Source organism: Homo sapiens, chromosome 16, assembly GCF_000001405.40.
Source record: "Homo sapiens chromosome 16, GRCh38.p14 Primary Assembly".
Classification (NCBI taxonomy): domain Eukaryota; kingdom Metazoa; phylum Chordata; class Mammalia; order Primates; family Hominidae; genus Homo; species Homo sapiens.
In genome coordinates, this window is record NC_000016.10 from 24,985,562 (window position 1) to 25,011,697 (window position 26,136).

At 43.8% G+C, this 26,136-nt stretch overlaps 1 protein-coding gene across 18 annotated transcripts in view, besides 2 other annotated features; it reads right to left on the reverse strand.

The window, feature by feature from the left end:
* Nucleotides 1-26,136, reverse strand: part of ARHGAP17 (Rho GTPase activating protein 17) — a 95,981-nt gene that overhangs the window by 66,173 nt on the left and 3,672 nt on the right. The window lies entirely within an intron of this gene.
* Nucleotides 2,887-3,490: an enhancer, noted in NCBI's record as "H3K27ac-H3K4me1 hESC enhancer chr16:24999769-25000372 (GRCh37/hg19 assembly coordinates)". NCBI's record gives its function as "activates a minimal SCP1, AML or CMV promoter by ChIP-STARR-seq in naive H9 embryonic stem cells {active_cell/tissue: H9 hESC(naive)}" and the evidence as "EXISTENCE:reporter gene assay evidence [ECO:0000049][PMID:30033119]".
* Nucleotides 24,607-24,706: an enhancer, noted in NCBI's record as "active region_10601". NCBI's record gives its function as "activates an Ori minimal core promoter by ATAC-STARR-seq in GM12878 lymphoblastoid cells {active_cell/tissue: GM12878}" and the evidence as "EXISTENCE:reporter gene assay evidence [ECO:0000049][PMID:35858748]".

A 26,136-nucleotide genomic window follows, 5' to 3' on the forward strand; every position in this document is an offset into this window, starting at 1 on the left:
GCTAAGGACCTCTGTGATTACACTGGGCCCACCTGGCTAGTCCAGGCTAATCTCCCTTTCCACTGATTAGAAATTTTAATCCCATCTCCAAACTTAGTCCCCCTCTGCCATGTAATCTAAGACATTCAGAGATTCTGGAGATGGGGATCTGGACATGTTTCGGGAGGGCAGAGCATTATTCTGCCTACTTCAGGTCCAAATGTCAACAGTGCCAAGGCTGAGAAGTGCTGATTTCAAAGGACACACATACACACACATACGTACACACACATACATGCACACCCATACACACACACACAGATGCACACAGGTAGATAGAGACACGAGGGGCATTTTTACACGTCAGAATACAGATGTACAACTCCACCACCTCCCTTTTTATGCCTGTACATTAACCTATTCTGTGGATATACCATGTTCTACTTAACTGCACGAAAGCAAGGCAGCACCACCAAACCCTCCAGCCTCATATTCAATCTAATTGAACTGTGGACTGAAGACAGTTGAAGACCGTCAAACCTCCACATCACAAACGGTTCCTCCAAGGCTGTAGGGATCTACTTGAGCCTTCATAATAGCCAACAGTAGCAGCCATATTTGCTGGGTGCTTTCTATGCCCCAGACACTGGGCTGGCACTTACATCTACTCTAATTCTCACATCAACCCTATTGGGTAGGAACCACTATTTCCCCCATTTTACCTATAAGGAAAGTGAGGTCTTGAAAGGTAACTTGCCTAGGACCCCAGCACTAATAAGTGGGATTGTGGGATTCAAACCCAGAGGGCCTGACTAGCAAGGCCTACACTTAGTTTATCTAAACCAGGGGTCAGCAAACTATACCCGCAGGCTCAATCTAGCTCACCGCCCATTTTTTATGTTCAGAAAGCTCAGAAGAATGGTTATTTTAAAATGATTGGAAAAAAACAAAATAATAATATTTGGTAACACATGAAAATTTTATGAAATTCACATTTCAGTGTATTACAGAAGTTTCACTGGAACACAGCCAGGCTCATGCATTTGTGTGCTATCTATGGCTGCTTTTGAGCTTCAACAGCAGAACTGAGTTGTTGCGAAAGACATCACCGTATGACCTGCAGAGCTCAAAATATTTGTTATCCAGCCATTTACAGAAAATGCTGGCCAACCCCAGGTCTCTATTAGTAACTCTTGCAGGATGTGGTGCAAACCTTGATAGCTAACTTTTTAGAATCACTTTGAGGATGGGTGAGGCTGGGCTGGAGGTGTATTTTCTCTTCCTCGACATTCTGCCTCATAGGCAAGCAGCAGCTGCCAAAATGAACAGGGGTGGCTGCCTCTGATAATTCAGTCCAAATGCGGAGGCACAGCCCAGTGCTGGTGACACTGGTGACAGGAAGAAATCAGAAGTTATGTCCCTCCTGCACCTACGCACCTCCATCCACTCACCTCCTCAAAAACACTGAAGTATTTTAATCACTGTTTGCTTTCTGGTCTCTACTGATAAACATATTTCGGGACAAGACCTAAATAAACACAGTTCTCTACCCAAGAGTTCAGCAACAATAAACATTTCAGGCTTGCAGACCATACTGTCTCTATGTAATGACTCAGCTTGCCACTGCAGCACAAAAGCTGCCACAGACATTGTATAAATGAACGGACCTGGCTGTGCCCCAATAAACCTTTATTTATGGACACTGAAATGTGAATTTTGCCTAATTATCGTACGTCATGAACTACTGTTCCTCTTTTAATGTTTTCAAGTATTTAAAAATGCCAAAACCATTCTGAGCCTGCAGCAGCCGCATTTAGCCCACAGACCAGAGTTTGCTGACCCCTGATCTATGTACAAGTGAAGTCCATTTTCCCATGAAACTTCAATCCTTTTTAATCACTTCCCAAATCCAAATTCTTCTTACTCAGAAGGGGGATTTCTACGTTTTCCCAACTTGCATTTCAGAGGTTGAGAGACGCTGGCTTTTCAAGACTTTTGCCAAATTGCTCCTTTTCAATCCTTTCAGCCATTCTGGGGCCTTGAGAGCAGGGGCTCATCTTTCTACCACCAAGAGCACCCCCAACCCAAGGATGGCAAATATGTGGCCGAGGCGCCAACACTAGCATCAAACATCAATGGCTCCCACTGCCTCTGGGCTCACAGGGCTGTTGGTTTTTGGTTTACAATTTCACATGAGAGATCACTGTTCTGCTGGCTTTTACACTTGCACACTGACTGATACGTCAATTAAAATGAAAAAATGAAGCATGGAGAGAATTTTTAATGAGCTCATTTTCAATGCTAGTTACCAGGAAATATCTGACGCATTTTTGAGAAATAAGACAGACTGTGACTAATCTACCAAGGATCTGAATATTGTATGTAGGGTAACAACATAAACATTACTGCATGCAACATGATTTGTATTCACAGTGAAATTACAGAGCCCACCCAGGGCTAGGCAGTGGATTTCATTCTGCTGGGAATCTGATTTTGTGCAACACTGTCACCTCCCGTTACAAGTGTTTACAAAATCCACCTGAGCCTCTGAGCCCAGTTTGGATGCAATAGTTTGATTTCATAGTGAGCTGGAGGACTACTGAATGAGTTTTTACTGTTTTATCTCATTAGATTAGCTGTCGTCTTAGATTTCTGGGAAGGAATCTAAAATCTACTTAATTGGATTTTTAAAATAAACGACTCTCTGAAACTTTAAAAATGAAGCAATTTGTTATACCTGCCACAAAGCAGTTTAAAAGCCGTAAGAGAGTTTACAGAACTCTAAAGGGATGTTATTGGGAAAAAATTGTTCCCATGCCTAACACTGAAAAGAAAAAGGATACTTAACGGGGGGAAATGATTCAACAGAAAATATTTTGGCAATGACGTGGGAAAAATAGATCTAATAGTTCTATACTCTGCATTATTTCCCCAAATGATGGTATTTTGCCCATGTATTTACAGCTTCTCTAGGACAGGGTTATAACATTTAATTTTTACTTTAAATGACAATAAAAGCCTTCTCAATCTTAACTTAATCTTGATAATATTATTTGAATTCCAGTGACTAAGATGAACAGTTACATTTTACCCTAAATTGAATTGAGGTTTATCGTTTTCCTGCACATGTAAGCTTACCCACGCAGCGTTTTGTTCGGTCAGTTGGCTTTTTCCCCTCTGGCACATGAAATGGAATCTATTTGCTATCCCTGCTCTAACCACGTGGCCTGTCTCAAAGCTCCACCACCGATTCTTGCTTATAGCAAAATCTGAAAGAAATCTCCCTTCTGCCACCAACCACCTCAACGGCCTCTCAGGCATTCCAAGTGCCTTATTCCCCAGCCTGCTCCAGTCACTCATGGTACCTGCTTGGACCTGGAGGCAGCTGAGTTTGAGATTTTAAAACTCATTTAAGCAGGCAAAAATATGTGAGAAATATTTTGCAAAATATTGCAATGCAGACAGTACATCCACATAGAGCTACTGCCTAAGGGAAAGGAGCTCAGGAGGAGTCCAGTTTACTGCTCTGGTGAGGCAGCCAGAGGCTAGGAGGAGCTGAAAAGCCACACAAAAAGTCTAAAGCAAAAGTGCCCAAGGCCAGGCCACACAATGTCAGGGGCTCCCTCCACACCTGGGCTCTGACTCAGTGCTGTGACTGATGGCTGCTGGGGAGGTGCACAGCGTCTGAAGACAGGTTGTGCAGGCTCCCTTCCAAACTAGGTCAGCACATTTGGACTTTGACAAGCTCATCCCCATAAAAACAGGTTGTAAATGTTAAGTTCTCAGTCCAACTTACAAGGACTCATTTAGCTCACAGATTATCTAAGAGACAGCCCTGGCAGGGGCCTATTGAGTTTTCTGAGCCACTCAGAAAAATAGTAAAAATAAAAACTAGTGGAAAAAGATCTAGGAGGTAACAGTGGTTCTTAACCAGAGCTACACATGACAGTCCTGGAGGCTCTGAAAATAATACAGGTGATGCCACTTATATGAAATGGCCAGAAAACGGGAATCTATAGAGGCAGAAAGTAGATGAGTGGTTGGCTTTGGGGGTGGGGGGAATGGGGATTAACTGTAAAGAAGTATGAAGGCTCTCATTTGGGGTGACAAAAATGTTCTACAATTGGGTTGTGGTGATGGTTACACAACTCTGTAAATTTACTACAAATCATTGAGTTCTACACTTAAAATGAGACATTTTTTGAAATATGTCAGACACAGAAAGATATATACCACATGTTCTCATTCATATGTGGGAGCCAAAAAAAATAACGTCATAAAAGTAGAGAGTAGAATTGTGGTTATTAGAGGCTGGGAAGCATAGGGTGGAGGAGAGATAGGGAGAGGTTAATGGATAGGGATAAATAATTATAGCTAGATGGGAGGAATAAGTTCTAGTATTCTATAGCACTGTAGGGTGAATATGACTAACAATAACTTAGTGTGTATTTTCAAAAATCTAGAAGAGGATTTTGAATGTTCACAATACAGGCACAAACGTTCAAGGTGATGGATACGATAATTATGCTGATTTGATCATTACACATTGTAAACATATCAGAATATCACTCTATATCCCATAAATATGTACAAACATTGCAGCCAACTAAAGATAAAAGGGGAAAATGGGTAAATTTTATGATCTATAAAATATATCTCATAGGTTGGGCACAGTGGCTCATGCCTGTAATCCCGGCACTCTGGGAGGCCAAAGTGGGAGAATCACCTGAGTCCAGGAGTTCAAGACCAGCCTGGGCAAGACAGGGACACCTCCATCTATACAAAAAATAAAAAACTTAGCCAGGCATGGTGGTGCACACCTGTAGTCCCAGCTACTCAGAAGGTTGAAGTGGGAGGATTGTTTGAGCCCAGGAGGTCAAGACTTCAGTGAGCCACGATCGTGCCACTGCACTCCAGTCTGGGCATCAAAGCAAGATCTTGTCTCAAAAAAAAAAAAAATTAAAACAATTAGCTGGGCATGGTGGTGAGCACTTGTAGTCCAGCTACTTAGGAAGCTTAGGTAGGAGGGTCATTTGAGCCTGGGAAGTGGAGACTGCAGTGAGCCAAGATCACACCACTGCACTCCAGCCTGGGCAACAGAGTGAGACCATGTCCCCCACAAAAACACAAATACACACACACCCCTCATAAGGTTGTCAAAAATAATAATACTGATGCCTGGACCCCAACCTAAAACAAATGAATTAGAACCTCTGGAGGTGGGGCTTGGCTTTTTTTTTTTTTTTTTAGCTCCCCAGGCAATTCCCAAGCAAAGAGAACACTGAGAACTGCTGCAAGGAGAAGGTTCAGGTAGCAACAGCTGGCAGGTGGCAGAACGAGCAGCAGGACAGACTAGAAGGGTAGCAGCCATAATGCACTGCAGCACCATAGTCTCCAGGGTCCCTGTGTCCTAGGCCATAAACACATTTCAGAAGGAGCTGATGTGCATGATTCACAACTGGCTTTACGCTGCGGCCTTCACAGACAGAGTAAACTCAGTTGTAAAAAACAGAGTGATACCCAATTCTAAGTTTCACTCTCAGCAAAGGATAAGAATGTAGGATACAGTCAGAACTAAGAGTTAGGGCTCTGGAGTCAAACATACCAGACTTTGAAACCCAAGGCTAGACGTTCACATGTGCACCTTACTAAGAAACATTTCCTCCACTGTGAAATAGGAATAATTATAACCATAAAATTATAATAATGATACCACCACCATAGTGGTTGTTTAGGAACACCATCTCATGTACTTCATTTAACGTGTTTCGTGGCACCTAGTGAGGGTTCATGGAGTGTTAGCTGTTCTGAGAATTACAACAAATAATAACAACCTTCAGATAAATCCCAAGTCTTATCTAAGAATGACCTTTCCAAATTTATCAAGCTGTTCTAGCTTCTCTCTGGAAGAAGTCACAGTCGAGCCTGGACCACACAAAAACAAAAAGCTAGTCAGAGTTAGAGCAGGAGTAGCGCAGGACGTTCAATTAAAACAAAGGGTTGGTTGTGACAACACCGTGTGGGATGGCACCAAAGAGAATCACAGGCAAACAATAAACAGAAACTCAGGGACAGAGTACGTGGAGAGTTAGTAAACCCTGCATCAGAAGCTAACATCTTAAGCTGCTGGGCTTCCCACCACTGCTAAGGAAGCTATAGAAACACCTGCACCAGCAGATCTCAGCTGAGCATGCATTCACAGAGAAGCAAAAGCAAGTCTCCAAGTATAAACCATCCATCCGAGGATGGACTTACTTCAAGAGCCTCAGATTTTAGATATTTGTTCATTCAGACGGTATTTACGGAGTTCCCACTAAATGTCAGGAACTGAGAAAGAAAAAAGGAGACAGAAATGATACAGTCCCCACCCTTGAGGAGCTCATGAGAAAAAAAGGTCTCATCCTTAATGAAAACACTTTGGGGGCACAGATAGAAGAGTGATTAACTGTGTGGCCAGGAAAGCAGGGAAACAGTCCAAGTGGACCTCAGATAAGTCAGGCATGGGGAGAAAAGGTTTGGGGAGGAGTGTGTACATAGTAGGGTACAGAACAGGAGGTGGAGATGTGGCTGCAGAGAAAGGCTTTGCCTGCCATGGAACTCGGGGGCAACAGGGAGCCACTGATGGTTTTTCAGTAATGGAATGGCAACAGGTTTGAGTTTCAGAATGAAAAGTAGAATAGCAGGATGGAAGTAGGAACTCCTGGAGCCCTCTGTGGATATCTAGACGAGAGACAAGAACACAGACCCAGAGCCCAAATAGTCATCCTGGCCAATGACACATAGCTATTTTTTCTTTTTCTTTTTCTTTTTTTTGGAGACAGAGTCTTGCTCTGTCACCAGGCTGGAGTGCAGTGGCACAATCTTGACTCACTGCAACCTCCACCTCCCAGGTTCAAGAGATTCTTGTGCCTCAGCCTCCCGAGTAGCTGGGACTACAGGCGCACGCCACCATGACCGGCTAATTTTTGTATTTTTAGTAGAGATGGGGTTTCACCATGTTGGCCAGGATGGTCTCGATCTCCTGACCTCATGATCCGCCCACCTCGGCCTCCCAAAGTGTTGGGATTACAGGCGTGAGCCACCGTGCCTGGCCCAACACATAGCTATTTTAACAGAAAGAGTACAGTAGAATCTGACTATAAACTACCAACTTGAAAAAAGTACAAGAAAAATTCATAAATACAGTACTCCTGTTCAAGAAAGTAATCAAACATAGAAACTGGAATTGGTGGATCATAACATGTAATCAAAAAAGTTTCTGTTACCGTTTATTTATTTTTTAGAGATGGGGTCTGTCACCCAGACTGTGGAAAGCAATGGTGCGATCGTAACTTATTTTAGCCTCCAACTCCTGGGCTCAGCAATCCTCCTGTCTCAGCCTCCCAAGTAGCTGAGACTACAGGCATACACCACCACACTCATCTAATTTTTGTATTTTTTTGTACAGACAGGTTCTCGCTATGTTGTCCACACTGGTTTCAAACTCCTCGCCGCAAGTGATCCTCCTGCCTCAGTTAAAATCCTTTTTTTGGAGACAAGGTCTAAAATCTTAACGTGCTGGCATTGTAGGCATGAGCCACTGTGCCCAGCCAAAAGAGTTTCTTAACACCAAATTTCCAATACTAAAATTTAAAAAAAAATTAATAGTAATATTTTGCATTTATACATTATTTTCTGTTATGAAAGCACTTTTACCTATATTATTTCATTATAATAGGTTGGTGCAAAAGTAATTGTGGCTTTTCCCATTAAAAGTAATGGGCAGCCGGGCATGGTGGCTCACGCCTGTAATCCCAGCACTTTGGGAGGCCGAGGTGGGCGGATCACCTAAGGTCAGGTGTTCAAAACCAGCCTGACCAACATGGTGAAACCCCATTTCTACTAAAATACAAAAAAAAATTAGCTGGGCATGGTGGTAGGCACCTGTAATCTCAGCTACTCAGGAGGCTGAGGGAGGAGAATCACTTGAACCCAGGAGGCGAAGGTTGCAGTGAGCTGAGATTGCACCACTGCACTCCAGCATGGGCAATAGAGTGAGACTCTGTCTCAAAAAAAAAAAAAAAAAGTAACGGGCAAAAACATGTACCCATACAGGGCAATTTTTATTATCCCTGTTTCGTGGGTGTGCAGGCAGACACCCATTAAGTGAATTACACAATGTGAACCAGTCTTTGAACCTTCAGAAAGAGTACCTTCGAGGCCATGGACCAAAGTTAAATTTCTCTTAAATTTGCAAGCTATGTTCTGACCCTAACTCCGCCACAAACTAACCATAGCATCTAAAAATACATCCCTTAACCTTTCTGCCCCTTACTTTATTTATATTTGCATCAACATTCTCACAGGACTTTTAAGAGACTAGAACAAAATAGCAAAGGAGGGAACATTTTGAAACCTTCCAAACTGGGCTTTGCAAACGTAGGACTGTAACTCCAAAAATGACAAATGTTGCACGGTTTAAACAGGCATCTAGTGCTGAAAATCTGAATAATGGTGGCTCCTCTGGAATTCTACAATAAACACACGTCACAGATGTGGCCCAGGAAGTTCCATGCTTAGCGTGGTGCACAAAATGAAGAAAAAATAGTCACCTGGAAAGTCAGGGCGAGGCAGTTTTTGAGGGATGATGGTAGATTCTGGGTGGGGAACACCCTAAATCTCCACTTGCCCTTTTCTAAGGTCAAAGAAAGGAGTGCCTGATGGATGAAAGGACACTGTAAATACCTTAAAACAGAAATCTGATTGCTTTTTAATGAGGTGTTTTGTCAAAAAAGCTATTCAGGATAAGTAAGCCTTAACTGAGTGGAGCTACACAGCCCATCAACAAATTCAACCACAGGCTGGTGTCATGCATACTTTGCACTAACTTTTCATTTGGTTAGTCACTGAACAAATATTTTCGGGTTCCCTTCCATGAGCCATCATGAGTAAGATAGGGCCCCTGCTCTGCCAGAGCTCAAGGACTATCAAGGAAAATAAGCCATTATACTCCAGTGCAAGGACGGTTCCAACAGGGAAGTGCAGGGTCCCTGGGAGTTGTCACTATCACCACAGCCCACATTTATTGAGCTCATATCACATGCTCAGCACTGTTCCAGGTGCTTTGCAAGAACTGAACTCTACGGGATAAGTATTATTACCCCCGTGTTACAGAGGAAGAAACTGATGCACCCAGGGAACTTAAGCGATTGCCCAGGGTTTCCCACCTAGGCTCTGAATCTCGGCAATATTACTTCAGGGACCCTGTTCTTAACCACCTAATACACACTTTACTTGTATTAACCCACCTAATCCTCAAGACAACCATGAGACTGATACCACTATTATAACCTGTATTAGTCTGTTCTCACATTGCTAATAAAGACATACCCACGTCTCTGTAATTTACAAAGGAAAGAGATTTAATTGACTCAGTTCCGCAGGGCTGGGGAGGCCTCAGGAAACTTACAATCATGGTGGAAGGGGAAGCAAACACGTCCTTCTTCAAATGGCATCAGCAAGGAGAAATGCCGAGCAAAAGGGGGAAAAGTCACTTATAAAACCATGAGATCTCATGAGAACTCACTCAGTATTACTAGAACAGCATAAGGGTAATGGCCCGATAATTAAATTACCTCCCATGGGATCCCTTCCACGACACGTGGGGATTATGGGAACTACAATTCAAGATGAGATTTGAGTGGGGACACAGCCAAACCATGTCATACCCATTTTAGAGATTTAGAAACCTAGGCACAGAGAAGCACATTAAATTGTTGCGGGTTACAGACATGACAGGAGGGGCCTGAATGCAGACCTGGGATATCAGAAAGATATCCTGAAACTGGTGATGGCTTCTGAGACCTACTGGATGAGTTGGAAACCCAGAGGCTGGATAGTACAAGAGCACCCAGGTCAGGGAGAAGAGAGGGAAGAGAGAGCAGGGAGGAGCAGAGGCAGGTGACATGGCTGGGGGAGAACCCCACCCCATTTAAGCTCAGGTACACGGGATCTGCTGAAGATTGTGAGCAAACTTATTTGCTGAATACATAAGTGACTAAATGAAAGTTTTCAGTATCTGGGCCTTGTACTGAGTAGGAGCCAGCGGCAATCCACCACCAGGGTGGGCAGGAGAGCCAAGGGCCAGCCCAATTCTAGGCCATCAGGTGTGCGAACCAAACTGAAGGACTGCGGAAAACACGGAAAGGAACTCTGCCGGACTCTGGGCCTTCAAATGAGTACCAGGCAGCAAATGTAAAAAAAAAAATCTTCAGAAAGGCTGTTACATGCATTTAAACAAAGGAAAACCAGGCTTGGACAATGAACCAACAAATAAAACTGCACTCACTTTACTTCTCTATAGACCAACTTTTTCTTCTCTTTTTTTTAAGAGACCAAGGGCTTTGCTATGTGGTCCAGGTTCACTTCAAACTCTTGGGCTCAAGCAATCCTCCCGCCTCAACCTCTCCAGTATCTGGGACTACAGGTGCAAGCCACCTACTTCTTCATAAGTACACCAGGGATTTCAGCACAATGGTTTTTAACTTCTAAGACTTAAAAAAAATTCCCAACATTTCAGTGAATTTTATTTTTTTGGGGGGGGAGGGAAATAAATATGTCTTCAGTCAACCATCTTAACTAAAATGTCTCCCATAACGTCTTAAATCCCTCTCTGCACTGAAGAATCTTCCTATCATCAATAATTTCAGGAACCTACCAGTGGAGTAACAGTTAAATTTGTTGTGCCATAACATGTTATTATGATAGTTGTATTCCTAAGAATTTACCAATGCTCATATTATAAAATCAACTGATCAAATGGCAGGAGCGAGAGTCTTCTGGGGATGGAGCATTCATAAAAAAATTTCTTCAGCGTTACCAGGCAAATCTAGCATTTCATCATATCTGGACATTGCTCCAACAGGATATTGGTCTTTTGTTATCATCAGAAGCACTCTTAGTAATGAGAACATCTTATGCATGCACATCTCCTTTGCCACCCACAACTCGGAAAGCAGAACAGAAAAACACCCACTAAAGCATGTTCAGAAGGTGCCCTCCCTCTACCCCAAGCAAGGTGCTAGCTCCTTGTAGGTGGGTGAAGTGGCTAAGAGCAAATATGCAGGGAGTCAAAGCCCCGTTCACCACCTAAGAGCGGGGTAATCTCTGTGTCTCCATTTCCTTTCCCGTAAAAATGGAGATATTAAGAATATCTAATTTACAGATTGGAAAGATTGAAAGAGATAATATAAGCAAAGTGCTGATTCCTAGAAAGCTCAAAAAATTCCTGGCATGGTGGCTCACACCTGTAATCCCAGTACTTTGGAAGGCCGAGGCAGGAGGATTGCTTGAGGCCAGGAGTTGGAGACAAGCCTGGGCAACATAGGGACAACCAAAAAAAAAAAAATGGTTTTTGTTCTGTCTAGAATATGGAGAAATCATGTCACACAAGTTACTCAATCTCCCTGTGCTTCTGGTTCCCACCTATAAAAGGGATAACACTATACTGACTTCACAGGGTCTGGTGGGTATTAAACAAGTCAATACACAACTTGGACTAGCGCAAGGTGCCCAGTACACATCCAGATGCATATTCTCTGTCATTAGCACTTGGACTGGTGCAAGGCGCCCAGTACACACCCAGACACATATTCTCTGTCATTAGCACATGGACTGGTGCAAGGTGCCCAGTACACACCCAGATGCACATTCTCTATCATTATCACCTGGACTGGTGCAAGGCGCCCAGTACACACCCAGACTCATATTCTCTATCATTAGCACTTGGACTGGTGCAAGGCGCCCAGTACACACCCGGACACATATTCTGTCATTAGCACTTGGACTGGTGCAAGGCACCCAGTACACACCCAGATATATATTCTCTGTCATTAGCACTTGGACTAGTGCAAGGCACCCAGTATACACCCAGATGCGCATTCTCTATCATTATCACAATTATTTCTTTGGCAGATCCCTCTGGCTGCAGTGTGGAATATGTGAGGGAAAGATATGCTGCCGGGTAGGGAAGCCATGGAGGAGAATCTGAAGAGTCCCCAAAACACGAGATCCAAGTGAGATGGAGGACAGCCCACACTAAATAGTGGGTAGGTAGAGCAGGGCACAGAGAGCCACTGCAAAGGAGAAAGGAACAGGACTCGGTGACTTGGGGGTGGACAGGAAGTGAGGGGGAGGAGCTGAGGATGACCACCAGGTTTCTGCCTTGAGGGACTGGCTGGACAATGTGTGTTTTTCCTCACCAAAAGAGAAACACTGGGAGGATATGAAGGTACAATGAGGTCAGCTCTGGAAATGCTGGGTGAAGGGACCTGTTGAACATTCAGGTGGAGATATCCAGTTCCCTTTTTTCTAGATGGTTCTGAAGCACAGAAAAGACATCTGGTCCAGAAACGAAGAGCCTGCTGTGAGGACCAGCAGCAAACACGGATCTGGGGGAGTTCATGCAGAAGCAGACCCTGCAGAGAAGACGGAGGCTGAGGATGGAGGCCCTGGGACACAGCGGAAGGAGAACCAGGGCAGGGGACAGGATAGGAGTCCCCAGGGAGGGCAGGGAAGAAGCCAGGAGCGAGGTGCGGGTGAAGCATGGATGAGGGACTGGCTGATGATGCAAACTGGGCCCCGGGCACAGGGACGTCAGGGACAGGAAAGTGGGAGGAGAGGGTCCTGGGAAGCCAAGACGCAGAGCGTGGATGACAGAGGAAGACGCAAAGCCCCAGAAGGAAGGGGAGGGCTGAGAAAAGCCTGACCATGAGGAGCAGCCAAGAAGAAACAGGCAGCAGATGGAGGGAGGTGAAAGGTGCATGGCACAGAGGGGAGGCTGGCAAGGCAGCGCCCAGGACAGCGGCACAGGTGGCGGGGCCTTGGACAGAGGGTGGGGTCCAGGCAGGTGGGTGGTGACGGCAACCATGACCACGGGTCAACCTGGGCCTCAGACACTGGGGAAAGGTGGCCATGTCCAGTTTTCTTAGGAAATTAGGAGGCAGGTCATCCAAGGAGAGAGGGTGGGTGTCTGGGGTAGGGTGAAGTAGGTTTCAGAAAAGTGAAAGTCTGGCAAAAGCACTCAGGAAAACGGGACAGAAAACTAAGCCAAGCGCTGGACGGCAGCATTCATTCAGCCCAGCTGAGCTTGGAGGCCATGAAATGCTGGCAGCCCCACACTGCACGACTGCAGGGTCTTTCTGGGCCACGCCCCGAATCCCAGGTATGGAAGTGAAGGACCCAAAAAGAGGAATGAATCAGGCTATTATTCCGCAGAACAGGTGAAAGAAAAAGGCCAGGTAGACAGAGCCTTGGAAGTCAGTCACCCACATGCCTGACCCCATCAGAGAAGAAAGGGGACCAAGCCAGGGCGGGAGGGACTGTGTGGGAAAGAGGAGGCTGAAAGGAGGAGAGACCGCGGGCAGAGGTGGACAAGGGACCAAGGTGAAGACCTTTGAGGTGCTTCTTGAACCACAGTGGCGAATGTCTTTCTGGACAAGAGTGCCAGTGCCCACCGCCATCACAGGACACAGCCCCATCCACACTCCCGGGACAGCAACATCTCATTGTCCCAAACTCTGCCAATTTCATCAGTGAAAAGTGGAGCCTGGAAGCTTTGCATTTCTTCAATGACTTCGAATTTTTTAAAGTGGTCTCACAGATTTCCTGGTCATCGGTATTTCATCTGAGAAGTTTCTGTCTGTGATATCTGCTCATTAGAGCGGAGTTCTTAAAATTACTAGAGAGCTTTATACATTCAGTATATTCACCTCTGTAGTGGTTGCTCTCAGTTTTTTCCAATTAGTCATCGTTTTAAATTTAACTTTGATATAATAAAACAGACAGAAGTGTAGTTATTATGTGGTTAAATCTACAGGTGTTTTATTTATTTATTTATTTATTTATTTATTTTTTAGAGATGGGGTTTCACTCTGTCACCCAGGCTGGACTGCAGGGGCACAATCATGACTCACTGCAGCTCCGGCTCCTGGGCTCTAAGGATTCTTCTATCTCAGCCTCCTGAAATAGCTGGGACTACAGGGGTGTGCCACCTCACCCAGCTAATTTTTCCAAAATTCCTTTTACAGACACGGGCCTCACTATGTTAATCAGGCTGGGCTCAAACTCCTGGCCTCAAATGACCCTCCTGCCTCGCCTCCCTAACAACTGGGATACAGGTGGGAGTCGCATGTCCCACCTACAGGCTATCTTTTATTGTTCTTTCTCCACATTTTTATGCCAAAGCATGCAGTACTTTCCACAATAAGCTATATTTTCTTGTATTTATTTTGTGGTTTTATTTTTTACATGAAAGCTTTAACCCATTTGGAATGTATTTTGGCATAGAGCAGTGAAGTGAAGGCTAACCTGGCTATTTTCCCCAGTGCTGACCTGCTGTGTCACACTGTATGTCCTCACTGTCTCATGACGCCTCCCTAGCACACACCACCTTCTTAAACACAGCAGAGCTTGCTCCTGGTGGTATCAGGAGCCGTTTCTCACGTATAGGAACACAGCAGAGTGGCTGATTGGACCAAGGTCACAGACACAGCGAGTAAACAGTACAGACAGGATCTCAAGCCCTCAGACTCAAGTCCAATACACTTTTTACTACAATGCAACTGCCCCAAAGCAGTTTTACGTTGATTAAGCCCTTATCTAAAAGTTTTGAAAACTGAATTAACTAATCGCCAAGAAAGCCAATTCTTGAGGGAAAGTAATTTGATGATCATCAAATCCCATGACAGAACACATTTCTGCTTTGTGGGGGAAAGGCTCCCATCTAGAAAAAGCATGTATTTTGGACACAGGCAGAACAACACACACAGACGCACGAGGTGCACATCTGCAAATAACATTTCTCTAGAGAGCAGCTCCCAGCATGGGAACTGTAACTAAGCATTGCTTGGACAACTGGCAGGCTTTCTTGAGCTGCCGACCATGTGGACGGCTTTTCTTGAATCTTGGGGTTTTTGTCCATGCGCTTGAGGATGTCTGTGAAGTCCATAAGATTATAGGCAAATCTGTGTGTGGATGATTTTTTCTGGCAACGGGGGGGTTATTAAAACCTCTACCTAAATCTACAGGCAGCAAGGTTTCCATTCCTAAAGACTGCCCTGAGATTCAGAGGCTACAATTCAGTCTACTGCCTTGTGACCTGCTAACCACCTCTTCTTTAGAAGTGACATTAGCATACTGCCACATACGCTCCATTAAAACTCCTCTTACCATTTCTCAACTTTCTCCTCCAATTTGTTCCTAAATCTAAAGTGCATTGCAATTGTTTTCTCCATATAGTTGGACTACTACAAATTCAGCATTCTGCATTTAAGATCACCTGCCAACCTCATGACACAAAACAGACACAGAATAAAGCTCAAATAGCAGACACACTAAAAGTTGTGTGGTTCGAAAATGAGGAGAACGTTGCTTGCAAACTTCCATTGGGAACAATTCATATTACAACACTTGTATTTTAGCAGGATTTAAATAGTCCTTATCATGTTCCTGAAATGTCCAATAAAGGTAGAATCATATGCCCTTTACACAATATTCCTATAAACATTTATACAGCTACACACTATTTTGGAGTCTAACCAATTAAATAAGGGATGAAAAAGAAATCATTGAACTAAATAGCAAAAGCAGAAATAGAAGCACAACACTGATAATATTATGTACCTAAAATAACAAAAATGATCAGTTGCATAGTTTAGTAAATAGGCACTATTCTCAATTTAAAAAACAAAAAAAAATACCTGGGAAGCATATAAAAGATTGTACACACAAAGTCATGTGCAATGCTCATCTTGTAGATATCAATTCTCAAAGTTTAGTTCACAGATTTATTAGGCCATAAAAACCTGGGTTTTATTTATTTTTGAACCTTTAGAGCCTAGCCCACAACAGGGACCCAATAAACATCATTTGAATAAATGAGTCCCAACTCAATCAAAATCCTAAATAATTTTTTCTAGAAACTAGAGAAGATGAGATGCCAAAACTCGCCTTTATACAAAAGTAAGAGAGATACTGAAAAAAGAATATTTATTATTATTTTTTAATGAGACAGGGTCTCTTGCTGGAGTGCAGTGGCAGGACCACAGCTCACTGCAGCCTTGAACTCCTGGCCTCAAGCGATCCTCCGGCCTCAGCTTTCCAAAGTGCTGGGATTACAGGCGTGAGCCACAAACCCAGCCTGAAAAAGAGTATTTGTAAGAGACCAGCTCTACCCAATTTAAAACATATTACAGATCAACAGTTATTAAACCATACTGATGCAGGCTAGGTGCAGTGGCTCATGCCTGCAATCCCAGCACTTTGGGAGACCAAGGTAGGAGGATCACCTGAGGTCAGGAGTTCAAGACCAATCTGACCAAAGCGAAACCCTGTCTCTACTAAAAATACAAAAATTAGCCGGGCATGGTGGTGGGCACCTATAATCCCAGCTACTGGGGAGGCTGAGGCAGGAGAATTGCTTAAACCTGGGAGACAGAGGTTGCAGTGAACCAAGATCGCACCACTGCACTCCAGCCTGGGTGACAGAGCGAGACTCCATCTAAAAAAAAAAAAAATGTTGATGCAAACATATACACACACCCAAAGCCATAAATCAATGGAATAGAATAGAAAGCCCAATAAAAGGTCAAAGAAAATATCACAATTATATGTTTCTAAAAAGGAATCATTGTAAAACAATGAAAAAGTGAAGAATTACTGTTCCCTATGTAAATAACATCTACATCAACCCTAACCTGAAGCTCCTCACCTCTTCCCTTGCTCTTTTCTTCAGCCCAAACATGGTGTTCAATGTTCTTCCCAGTCACCGCCCAAGGCTGCTGTCTTAGCCCTGCCGTCATCACCTCTCTGAGCCTACTGCAGTAGCTTCCTATCTGGGTTCCCTTTCCCTTCCTCCCTGGTCCTGACTCCATCGGCTGCCAGCTGACTTCCCACAGCACCAACTTTCTCAACCTTTTGCCGAAAAGAGTTCCCCAAGTTCTACCACAGTAGCCCTCAAACCATCATTCCCCCCTAAAACTGGAACAGAAGCTTTTCTAACGATGGACTTCCACAGATGACGACAGAAGCCAATCAACATCGCCTGGCTCTCAAAAGTTGGTGCTCCAGGCCATGGATGGCCTGTATTTTAGTCCTGCTATGTTGGGGTTGTTTGAGGATTATTATGAACCCCAGCAAGTACAAAAATGCAAAAGCAATGGGAGTATTAAACTGGTTCTGGCTGGGCGCGATGGCTCACGCCTGTAATCCCAGCACTCTGGGAGGCCAAGGCAGGTGGATCACCTGAGGTCAGGAGTTTGAGACCAGCCTGACCAATATGGTAAAACTCCCTCTCTACTAAAAATACAAAAATTAGCCAGGTGTGGTGGTGGGCAACTGTAATCCCAGCTACTCGGGAGGCTGAAGCAGGAGAATCGCTTGAACCCAGGAGACGGAGGTTGCAGTGAGCCGAGATTATGCCACTGCACTCCAGCCTGGGGAACAGAGCGAGACTCCGTCTCAAAAAAAAAAAAAAAAAAAAAAGAGGCTCTAACAGGAGATATACAAGTAAAATGGAAATTAGAGAAAATAATAAGTTACATTGTGAGAAATGATACTTGATATTCAATGTATAACAAAATTGTCTATTTGGGGCAAAGGTCTCCATCAGCTTATACAGGGCAAATAAAACAAGAGTATGCTAGCTTTAAAGCTTTTTTTTTTTTTTTTTTTTTTGAGACAGGGTCTCACTCTGTTGCCCAGGCTGGATTGCAGTGGCAGGATCTCAGCTCATTGCAACCTCTGCTTCCCAGGTTCAAGCGATTCTCGTGCCTCAGCCTCCCAAGTAGCTGGGATTACAGGTGTGCACCACAATGCCTGGCTAATTTTGGCATTTTTAGTAGAAACAGGATTTCGCCGTGTTGGCCTGGCATCAAATCTGCCTGCCTCAGCCTCCCAAAGTGCTGGGAGTATAGCCATGAGCCACCATGCCTGGCCTTAAAGCTTTTTAAAACTTGGAAGAACCAGCTGGGTGCGGTGGCTCACACCTGTAATCCCAGCACTTTGGGAGGCCGAGGAGGGCTGATTGCTTGAGGCCAGGAGTTCCAGATCAGCCTGGCCAACATGGTGAAACCCTGTCTCTACTAAAAATACAAAAATTAGCCGGGAGTGGTAGTGCACACCTGTAATCCCAGCTACTCAGGAGGCTGAGGCAGGAGAATCGCTTGAACCTTGGAGCAGAGGTTGCAGTGAGCTGAGACTGTGCTATTGCACTCCACCCTGGGTGACAGAGCAAGAATCCATCTCAAAAAAAAAAAAAGCTTTGAAGAACCAACTTACACCTTCTATTGGATGGAAATGCAACCAGGGGCTGTGAATTTAAATACTACAAATACTTAACAAATGGATCAGAAAATAGCAATCACTACCCAAGTGATTTGAAAATAGAAGAGCTGGAGAGAGTTGCTCCCCTGCTAAGAATCACATAATGGTTGCCTTTTTCCCAATTTACAAACAAAAAAAAAATATTAAGTTAAAGGATAAACTCTTCAAGTGTTAGGTTTCCCCTAGGACTATCTCTACCCTTGGAATTCTCTATCACCTGCCAGTTATTAAGATCACTCAAGGCCAGGCACAGTGGCTCACGTCTGTAATCCCACAACTTTGGGAGGCCAAGATGGGAGAGTTGTTTGAGGCCAGGAGTTGGAGACCAGCCTGGGCAACATAGCAAGACTCTGCCTCCATGAAAAAATTTGTTTAAAAATGATTGCTCACGTTACATGCCCAGCGGAGTCCTCACTGAACCCCCAGGCACATCTCAGAGACTCCCCTGCTTTGTGCCTGTGCCCACACTCCCTCCATCCAAGCACTCACTGTATCTGGTGAAGTAGAAACACTTCGGTGTATTTCCCCAAAGTACCGCTGGCCATGGTTTCAAATGGTCACTCCAGCCCAGGCATGTGAAAGTATCCAATGACCACGTGATATCCAAGCTGCTTGATTTATACATATTCACACTGACAGGTAACAGCTGATGGGTGCTTTTAATAATTTCTGTACATTTATTTAAGATTTATATTCATTTGAGCACCTGTTTACTTGGTCTGTGATTTCTAATTTAAACTCTTTAAGAAGTATAAATTTGGCCAAACCATGTGGAAGAACACTGAGTAACTACAGAAGAAATGCTAATGAAACATTAAAGGAGAGATCAAATTGACTACTAAACCAAAAGGTATCTCTGATAAGGAAGACGTCCAAAAAGAAGAGCTGTGGGAAAGGAGAGGAAGAGAGAAACATCTTGGGATAATCAAAAGGAAGTAGCCAATGCAAATAATCAATAAGCTGTAATTAACACAGAGGAAACACAGTCTCACAAGATGCATGGCTGAAATGAACTGAATATTGTTTGTTTTTGAGATGGAGTCTCACTCTGTTGCCCAGGCTGGAGTGCAGTGGTGCGATCTTGGCTCACTGCAACCTCGGCCTCCTGGGTCCAAGCCATTCTCCTGCCTCAGCCTCCTGAGTACCTGGGATTACAGGCGCCTGCCTGCCATGCCCAGCTAATTTTCGTATTTTTAGTAGAGATGGGGTTTTACCATATTGGTCAGGCTGGTCTCAAACTCGTGACCTCAGGAGATCCACCCGCCTTGGCCTCCCAAAGTGCTGGGATTACAGGCGTGAGCCACCATACCCAGCCTGAATATTGTTTTTATATCAAACATGCCTATTATTTTATTTGCTATAAATAATAGGCTCTACCTATTTAAAAGACAGTTTCTTATAGAAATCTTAGATTTTTTATAGAATCAGCTTTATCTTCTGAAACTTGTATTAAATCTGTACCTAGTCATGAATGTGCAAGGTTTCATCACTGTATCTGTTGAGGAACATATCTATGAACAAGAATGCTAACTTGTTTATATTAAAGTACATAAATACATCAAAGAATGGCATTAAGATTTCATTAACAGCACCTAAGATCTGCTAGAATAGATAAAACTGGTTACATTCAGATTATCTGTTTGTAGCTCTGTCTCCACATTCAAGTCCCCAGGGATCAATTATATTTTTAACCCCAGCCCCTATCATTTGACAGGTTCTCAAGAGACATTTGTTGAACTAAATTGGTAACTGAGCAATGAAACTGATAACTAAACGTTAATTCCATGACAAACAAATGACACATACAGAGAAAACTCATATAAAGAAATACAAATGTAAGAACACATTCATTTTGAACTTAGTGGAAAAAATTTAAATAGATAACAAATTTTTTAAGGACAATATCTAATGCAACTAAGGTGATGGTGAAATGTGATATTCATCATGTCATGCATAATGACACACATTATTGCGCAACATCACTTTCTGCACTACAAACTAAATGACGGCATTATCATCTTAGGAGACAACCTGGCAATACTGTCATGATATAAACATTAATTTCCTATAAATCTAGTGATTCTAACCTCTAGAGAATTCATCATGAAAAAGTAATTTAGAGGTGAGCAGCTATAATCATTAAAATGGTGACCGACCATGTCAAACAGAAGGTTGGGGAATTGTAGATACAATCCAGCTCAAGCCAGCTCAAGGCAGCAAAGCCAACTGGAAGACAAATTTGACTCCAAGTGAAAAATAATGAGCACCTAATTAAGGTAACAGGAAGGATGGCCTCTGGGAAGCAAAGATGAAGTCAACAGATAATCAAGGTCAGTTCCAGACCAGCCTGGCCAACATGGTGAAACTCTGTCTCTACTAAAAATTAAAAAAAAAAAAAAATTAGCCGGACATGGTGGTGTGCGCCTGTAGTCCCAGCTACTCAGGAGGCTGAGACAGGAGAATCGCTTGAACCCGGGAGACAGAGGTTGCAGTGAGCCGAGATCATGCCACTGCACTCCAGACTGAGTGACAGAGAGGGACTCCGTCTCAAAAAAAAAAAAAAAAAGAAAAAGATAATCAAAGAGGCAGAATTTCCAGTCTCCTCACCTGACTGAGATGATGGAGGAAAAAGAATGGGACTGACAGGTGACTAGGGAGGGTGTGAGGGCATTTAATGCCCTAGGGCAGGGGTCACATGCTTCTTATGAAGTGCCAGAGGATAAATACCATAGGCGTTGCAGGCCATATGGGTCACTGTTGCAACTATTCAACCCTGCCACTGTAGTGAGTGGCTGTGTTCCAGTAAACTTTTTCACAAAGCAAGCGGTGGGCTGGATTTACCCTGCAGGCCAAAGTCTCGTGACTCACAGACTAGAAGATAGAGGGAAATGAAGCCAATTTGAGGAAGAAGTTCATGGGTTCAATTTTATCAGGCCATGTCAGCAGAGATTTTTCAAGAGAGAGATGATAGCATCATTCTAGGGATAAAGAGACCCCAGGGCTGGAGGCATAAAACTGTCACCATGAGGTGATAGTTATGGGGCTGAGATCACCCAGGGGAACGGTCTGAGAAGAAAGGAGATCGAGGACATTTCTCTGTCGCAATATAACAGTGAATACCCAATGTTACTTCAGATCACTATGGCCCTGGAAAGGAATGAACATTACAATCTAACCTCTTTTAACTCCTACTTTTTAAAAAGAGGGCTCCTATTTTTGAAGTGGGGCTTTCAGTCCCTTTTCCAAGATAAATAAGTTTAAAGTTTCAAATTTACAGATGAAAATTTCCTAATGGCTAGAAAATAAGGCAATGCTAAAATAAAGTGCTTATCAACTTCTTTAGATTTTTATTATGAAATATTTTATGTGCAAAGAACATATAGTGTGTATGTAAAGCATAATGAATAACAATAAAGCAAATGCACCCATCCATATCTCAAGAAAGTAGTTCATTACGAATGCCACTGACAAATTACTTATTTAGAGACAGGGTCTCACTCCATCACCCAGGCTGGAGCACGGTGGCAGGATCACAGTTCACTGCAGCCTCGACCTCCCAGGCTCAAGCGATCCTCCCACCTGAGCCTCCCAAGTAGCTGGGGACTACATGCACATGCTACCATGCCTGGCTAAACTTTTTGCGTGTGTAGAGACAGGATCTTGCTATGTTGCTCAGGCTGGTCTCAAACTCCTGGTCTCAAGTGATCCTCCCACCTCAGCCTCCCAAAATGCTGAGATTACAAGCATGGGCCACTGCACCCGGCTCACTGACAACTTTTCATACCACAAGCATTAGTCTCTAAACTACAAATGAAAGCAGGCAGCCCACAGCCAGATAATGCTTTCAGATGTTTTCTTTGGCCAACAGTGGGTTTTTTTCTTTTTAGTTGCCAACATTTAAATATCAAGAAACTTCACATGAAAATCAGCATTCTGGAGTATCATCAAAAATGGAAGATGTAGCTTCACTACTCCCACGTTCACCATGGCAACAAGTGGCTAGAACTGAAGAGCAGCTCTCCCCTTTGAATGAACATGTATTCACCAGTTCACTGCAGTCCCCACATTCCCTACTGTCCTATACCCGCCTCCCATTTCACTTATTTATTTTACCCAACCTGGCACTTCGGTTTGTGACCCCTGCTTATGTGATTGTGGTTTCCAACCTTTGGGAATATGGGAAATATTATTTACAGTAAAAAAATTTAACAGACTCTCAATAGGTATATAACTAAAAGTAAGACAAGTCCACAATCCCTATCACCATTTTGTAATCCAAAAAGTTCTAAAAAACAAATCTTTTTTTGTAACTTATTTGGCAATAAAAGTTGACCTGAACTGATATTAAACTATGCATAATCTTCATGCATATCCATTCAGTGGGAATATATGTATATATATTTTGCTATACTAATGTTTGATTATGGGATTTTGTCCCAGACCCCACTGGAAGTATTACATAACAACAATATATGCATATTATTACTTTTAGAAAAATCTGAAAAATTCTGAATTCTAAAACTTATCTGGCCCAATGATTCCAGATAAGGGACTGTGGGCCTATTACACTTTTAATCCCTACCTTTAAGAAAATACAAACACAGCGAACAGATGAGAGTTTAACATTTTTACATGGATTTGTACTTCACTAGTTACTACAGCATCTACCTACACTTGAGAAACTGAAATAGAATGATAAAGGTGAAACATCCTGTGGTCTGACAAAAATGCACGGTGCACGTACTGACTGCAGCGCCCTAGGCCATAATCAAACTTGGAAGGTTTTGCCTCGTCCACTCTGCTACAAAGGCAATTCCATAATAGCGTAACATGCCGCTTACACATATAAAAATGATGCTAAATGAACATATCCTTTTATGGTTCAAATTTACAGATGAAAATTTTCTACTGGTTCATCATTTTTATGGTTTTAGAGTTCATTTCTTCCCCCCAGTAAAGAATGGATTTTCACTCAACTATAAATACTTCTGGATTTCTTAACATGTAAACTACATAATAAGGCCATAAAAGATGAGATTGAGAAGCTGCTGCAACGACAAGAGGACCTCTTTCCACCCTGCTCTATGGAGAGGTTGATGGAATCCACTCAGATTGAAGCAAAGCACACATTACCTATCCCTTCTCAGAAATACTGTTCAGAGTTCCCCTAGAAAAGGCAGAGTGGGCAGGCGTGGTGGCTCACGCCTGTAACCCCAGCACTTTGGGAGGCCAAGGTGGGTGGATCACCTGAGGTCAGGGGTTCAAGACCAGCCTGGCCAACATGGCAAAACTCCATCTCTACTAAAAAATACAAAAATTAGCCAGGCTTGGTGGCTCATGCCTGTAAGCCCAGCTACTCGGGAGGCTGAGGAAGGAGAATCGCTTGAACCCAGGAGGTGGAGGTTGCAGTGAGTCGAGATTGTACCACTGCACTCCAGTCTGGGCGGCAGAGCGAGACTCCGTCAAAAAAAAAAAAAAAAGGGTGGGGGGAAGGAAAGGTAGAGTGAAGATCAGTGGGAGGAAAAGGACACAGTGGAGTGGGTGAGGGATGCAGAATGTTACTGCTGGCAACGTAAGGATAAGGTTTGTGATCATCAAATACAGGCAGGGCTGACTCAGGGAAGAGAGATGAGATTCATTCAATTCGGCAGCAGGGGACTGTTCTGGGATCAGTAGGTAGAGACACATTTTGACTCAGTGTGAGAATTCACATTGCTGGTAGTGGATCCAACTACCTAGTGAGTGGTCCATTCTACATACCTCCTAGGAGTGGAAGACTCCTAGAGGTCATTAGATCTCTGTGATCAGAATTTATAGCTGCTGCAGAATCAGAAACCTGGGTTTGGGTCCACGGCTCTGTCTCTTGCGAGCTTGATGACCTCTTTGATCTCTGGCTTCCTCATCATTAAATCAGAAATAAGTAACATCACCTCAGAGGGTGGCTATGAGAATGCAATGAAATAAAAGTATGCAAAGCACCAAGCCCAGCAGCTTCATAAGCACAGAAGATGTTTAATAAACATTAATAAACACTAATCCTTCCCTGGTGAAGAGGCAGCCCAGTTCCTGTACTCAAAAGCACTTGGGAACCACAGGAAGAGGCCCTGGACCCAAGCCATGCCTCAGCCACTACTCAGTAACTGTGCAAACTTAGAAAGTCAGGTTTCTTCCTCTTTTTTTTCTTTTTTTTTTTGAGACAGGGTCTTGCTCTGTCACCCAGACTGGAGTGCAGTGGCATGATCTCAGCTCACTGCAGCCTCGACTTTCCAGGCTCAGTTGATCCTCCCACCTCAGCCTCCCAAGCAGCTGAGACAGGCAAACACCACCACTCCTGGCTAGTTTTCTGTATTTTTTGTAAAGACCGGGTTTCACCATGTTGCTCAGGCTGGTCTGAAATTCCTGGGTTCAAGTGATCCTCCTACCTCGGGCTCTCAAAGTGTCAGGATTACAGGCGTGAGCCACCCCACCCCACCCAGCCAGGTTTCCATCTTTGTCAGAGAGAAGTTATCATTGTCAGGAGACGAAATCCAAGCCAGGTGGTTTAGTACAGCACTTTGTAAACTAAACCACCATAGAAATGTTATAGACTGTTACTATCAGACCTTTTCAAGATTTTAGTAAAGAAAGGATGAGCTGTTTTTCAACAAATCCAAAGAACTGAAAACATCAGGGTAAGGTACAGGGGAATAAATGAAAAAGAGGGACTGTCAATTTCTGAGTCCTTCTAGACAAGCAGTTGGGTGATCCACAGAAATATTTTGTTCAGCTGCATATAGTGTCCCCGTAGTTTAATTTGGATTAAACGCCAGCTAGTTAAAATGCAGATTTCAGGAAAACTCCACAGGTGGTCCACACTGGGCCTACATTACCACAGCAGCCCCTTTGGTGGGACACAGTCCTCCAGGTCCCCTGAGGCCTTCACATGGCCCAAAGCACTGATTCATTTTACTGGCCTCGCCCTCTAGGCATTTGGGTTTACAACCTTGGGTTCTCAAAAAACAACTATCTGTGAAAGCATTCAGACCTCCAAGGGAAACTTCAGTCAGGGAAGAAATCAACACCCAAGGAGACACTCCCTATCAGAGCCTCAGTACTATGCTCTCCTAGTTGTCTCTCAAATTTTTTTTCTCCTTGATACTTCTGTAACTTCAAGGTCTTCATCCCAGTGTACTCCTTCCTCTACTCAAGACATCATCTCCCCAAAAACACCATTGGTGATGATCTGCATCTAAGGGTTTTCAAGAAACAAAACATCTCTCTTTTTAGCAGGGCTACAAAAGACACACCATGACCTTTATTTCTTGCCTGATTACCACCCATTACCATCCACTCTCAGTCCATATGGTTTGGGTGCGCTGACTCCAGTCCATTTCTGGGGAAAGGCATGTGACCCAGAAGCATTCAGAGCCAATCCTGGGACTCGGGCCACAGTGACTGCGAGATGAGTATTCTTTCCCTCTGAGACTTGGAAGATGTGGAAGTCTCCCAGTGGACACAGTGCCTACCTAAAGAGTGGAACCGAGGCCAGGCGCAGTGGCTCATGCCTGTAATCCCAGCACTTTGGGAGGCCAAGGTGGGCAGATCATCTGAGGGCAGGAGTTTGAGACCAGCCTGGCCAACATGGCAAAACCACATCTCTACTGAAAATACAAAAATCAGTCGGGCATGGTGGTACAGGCCTGTAGTCCCAGCTACTTGGGAGGCTGAGACGGGAGAATTGCTTGAACCTAGGAGGTGGAGGCTGCAGTGAGCCGCGCCACTACACTCCAACCTGGGTGACAGAGCCAGACTCCGTCT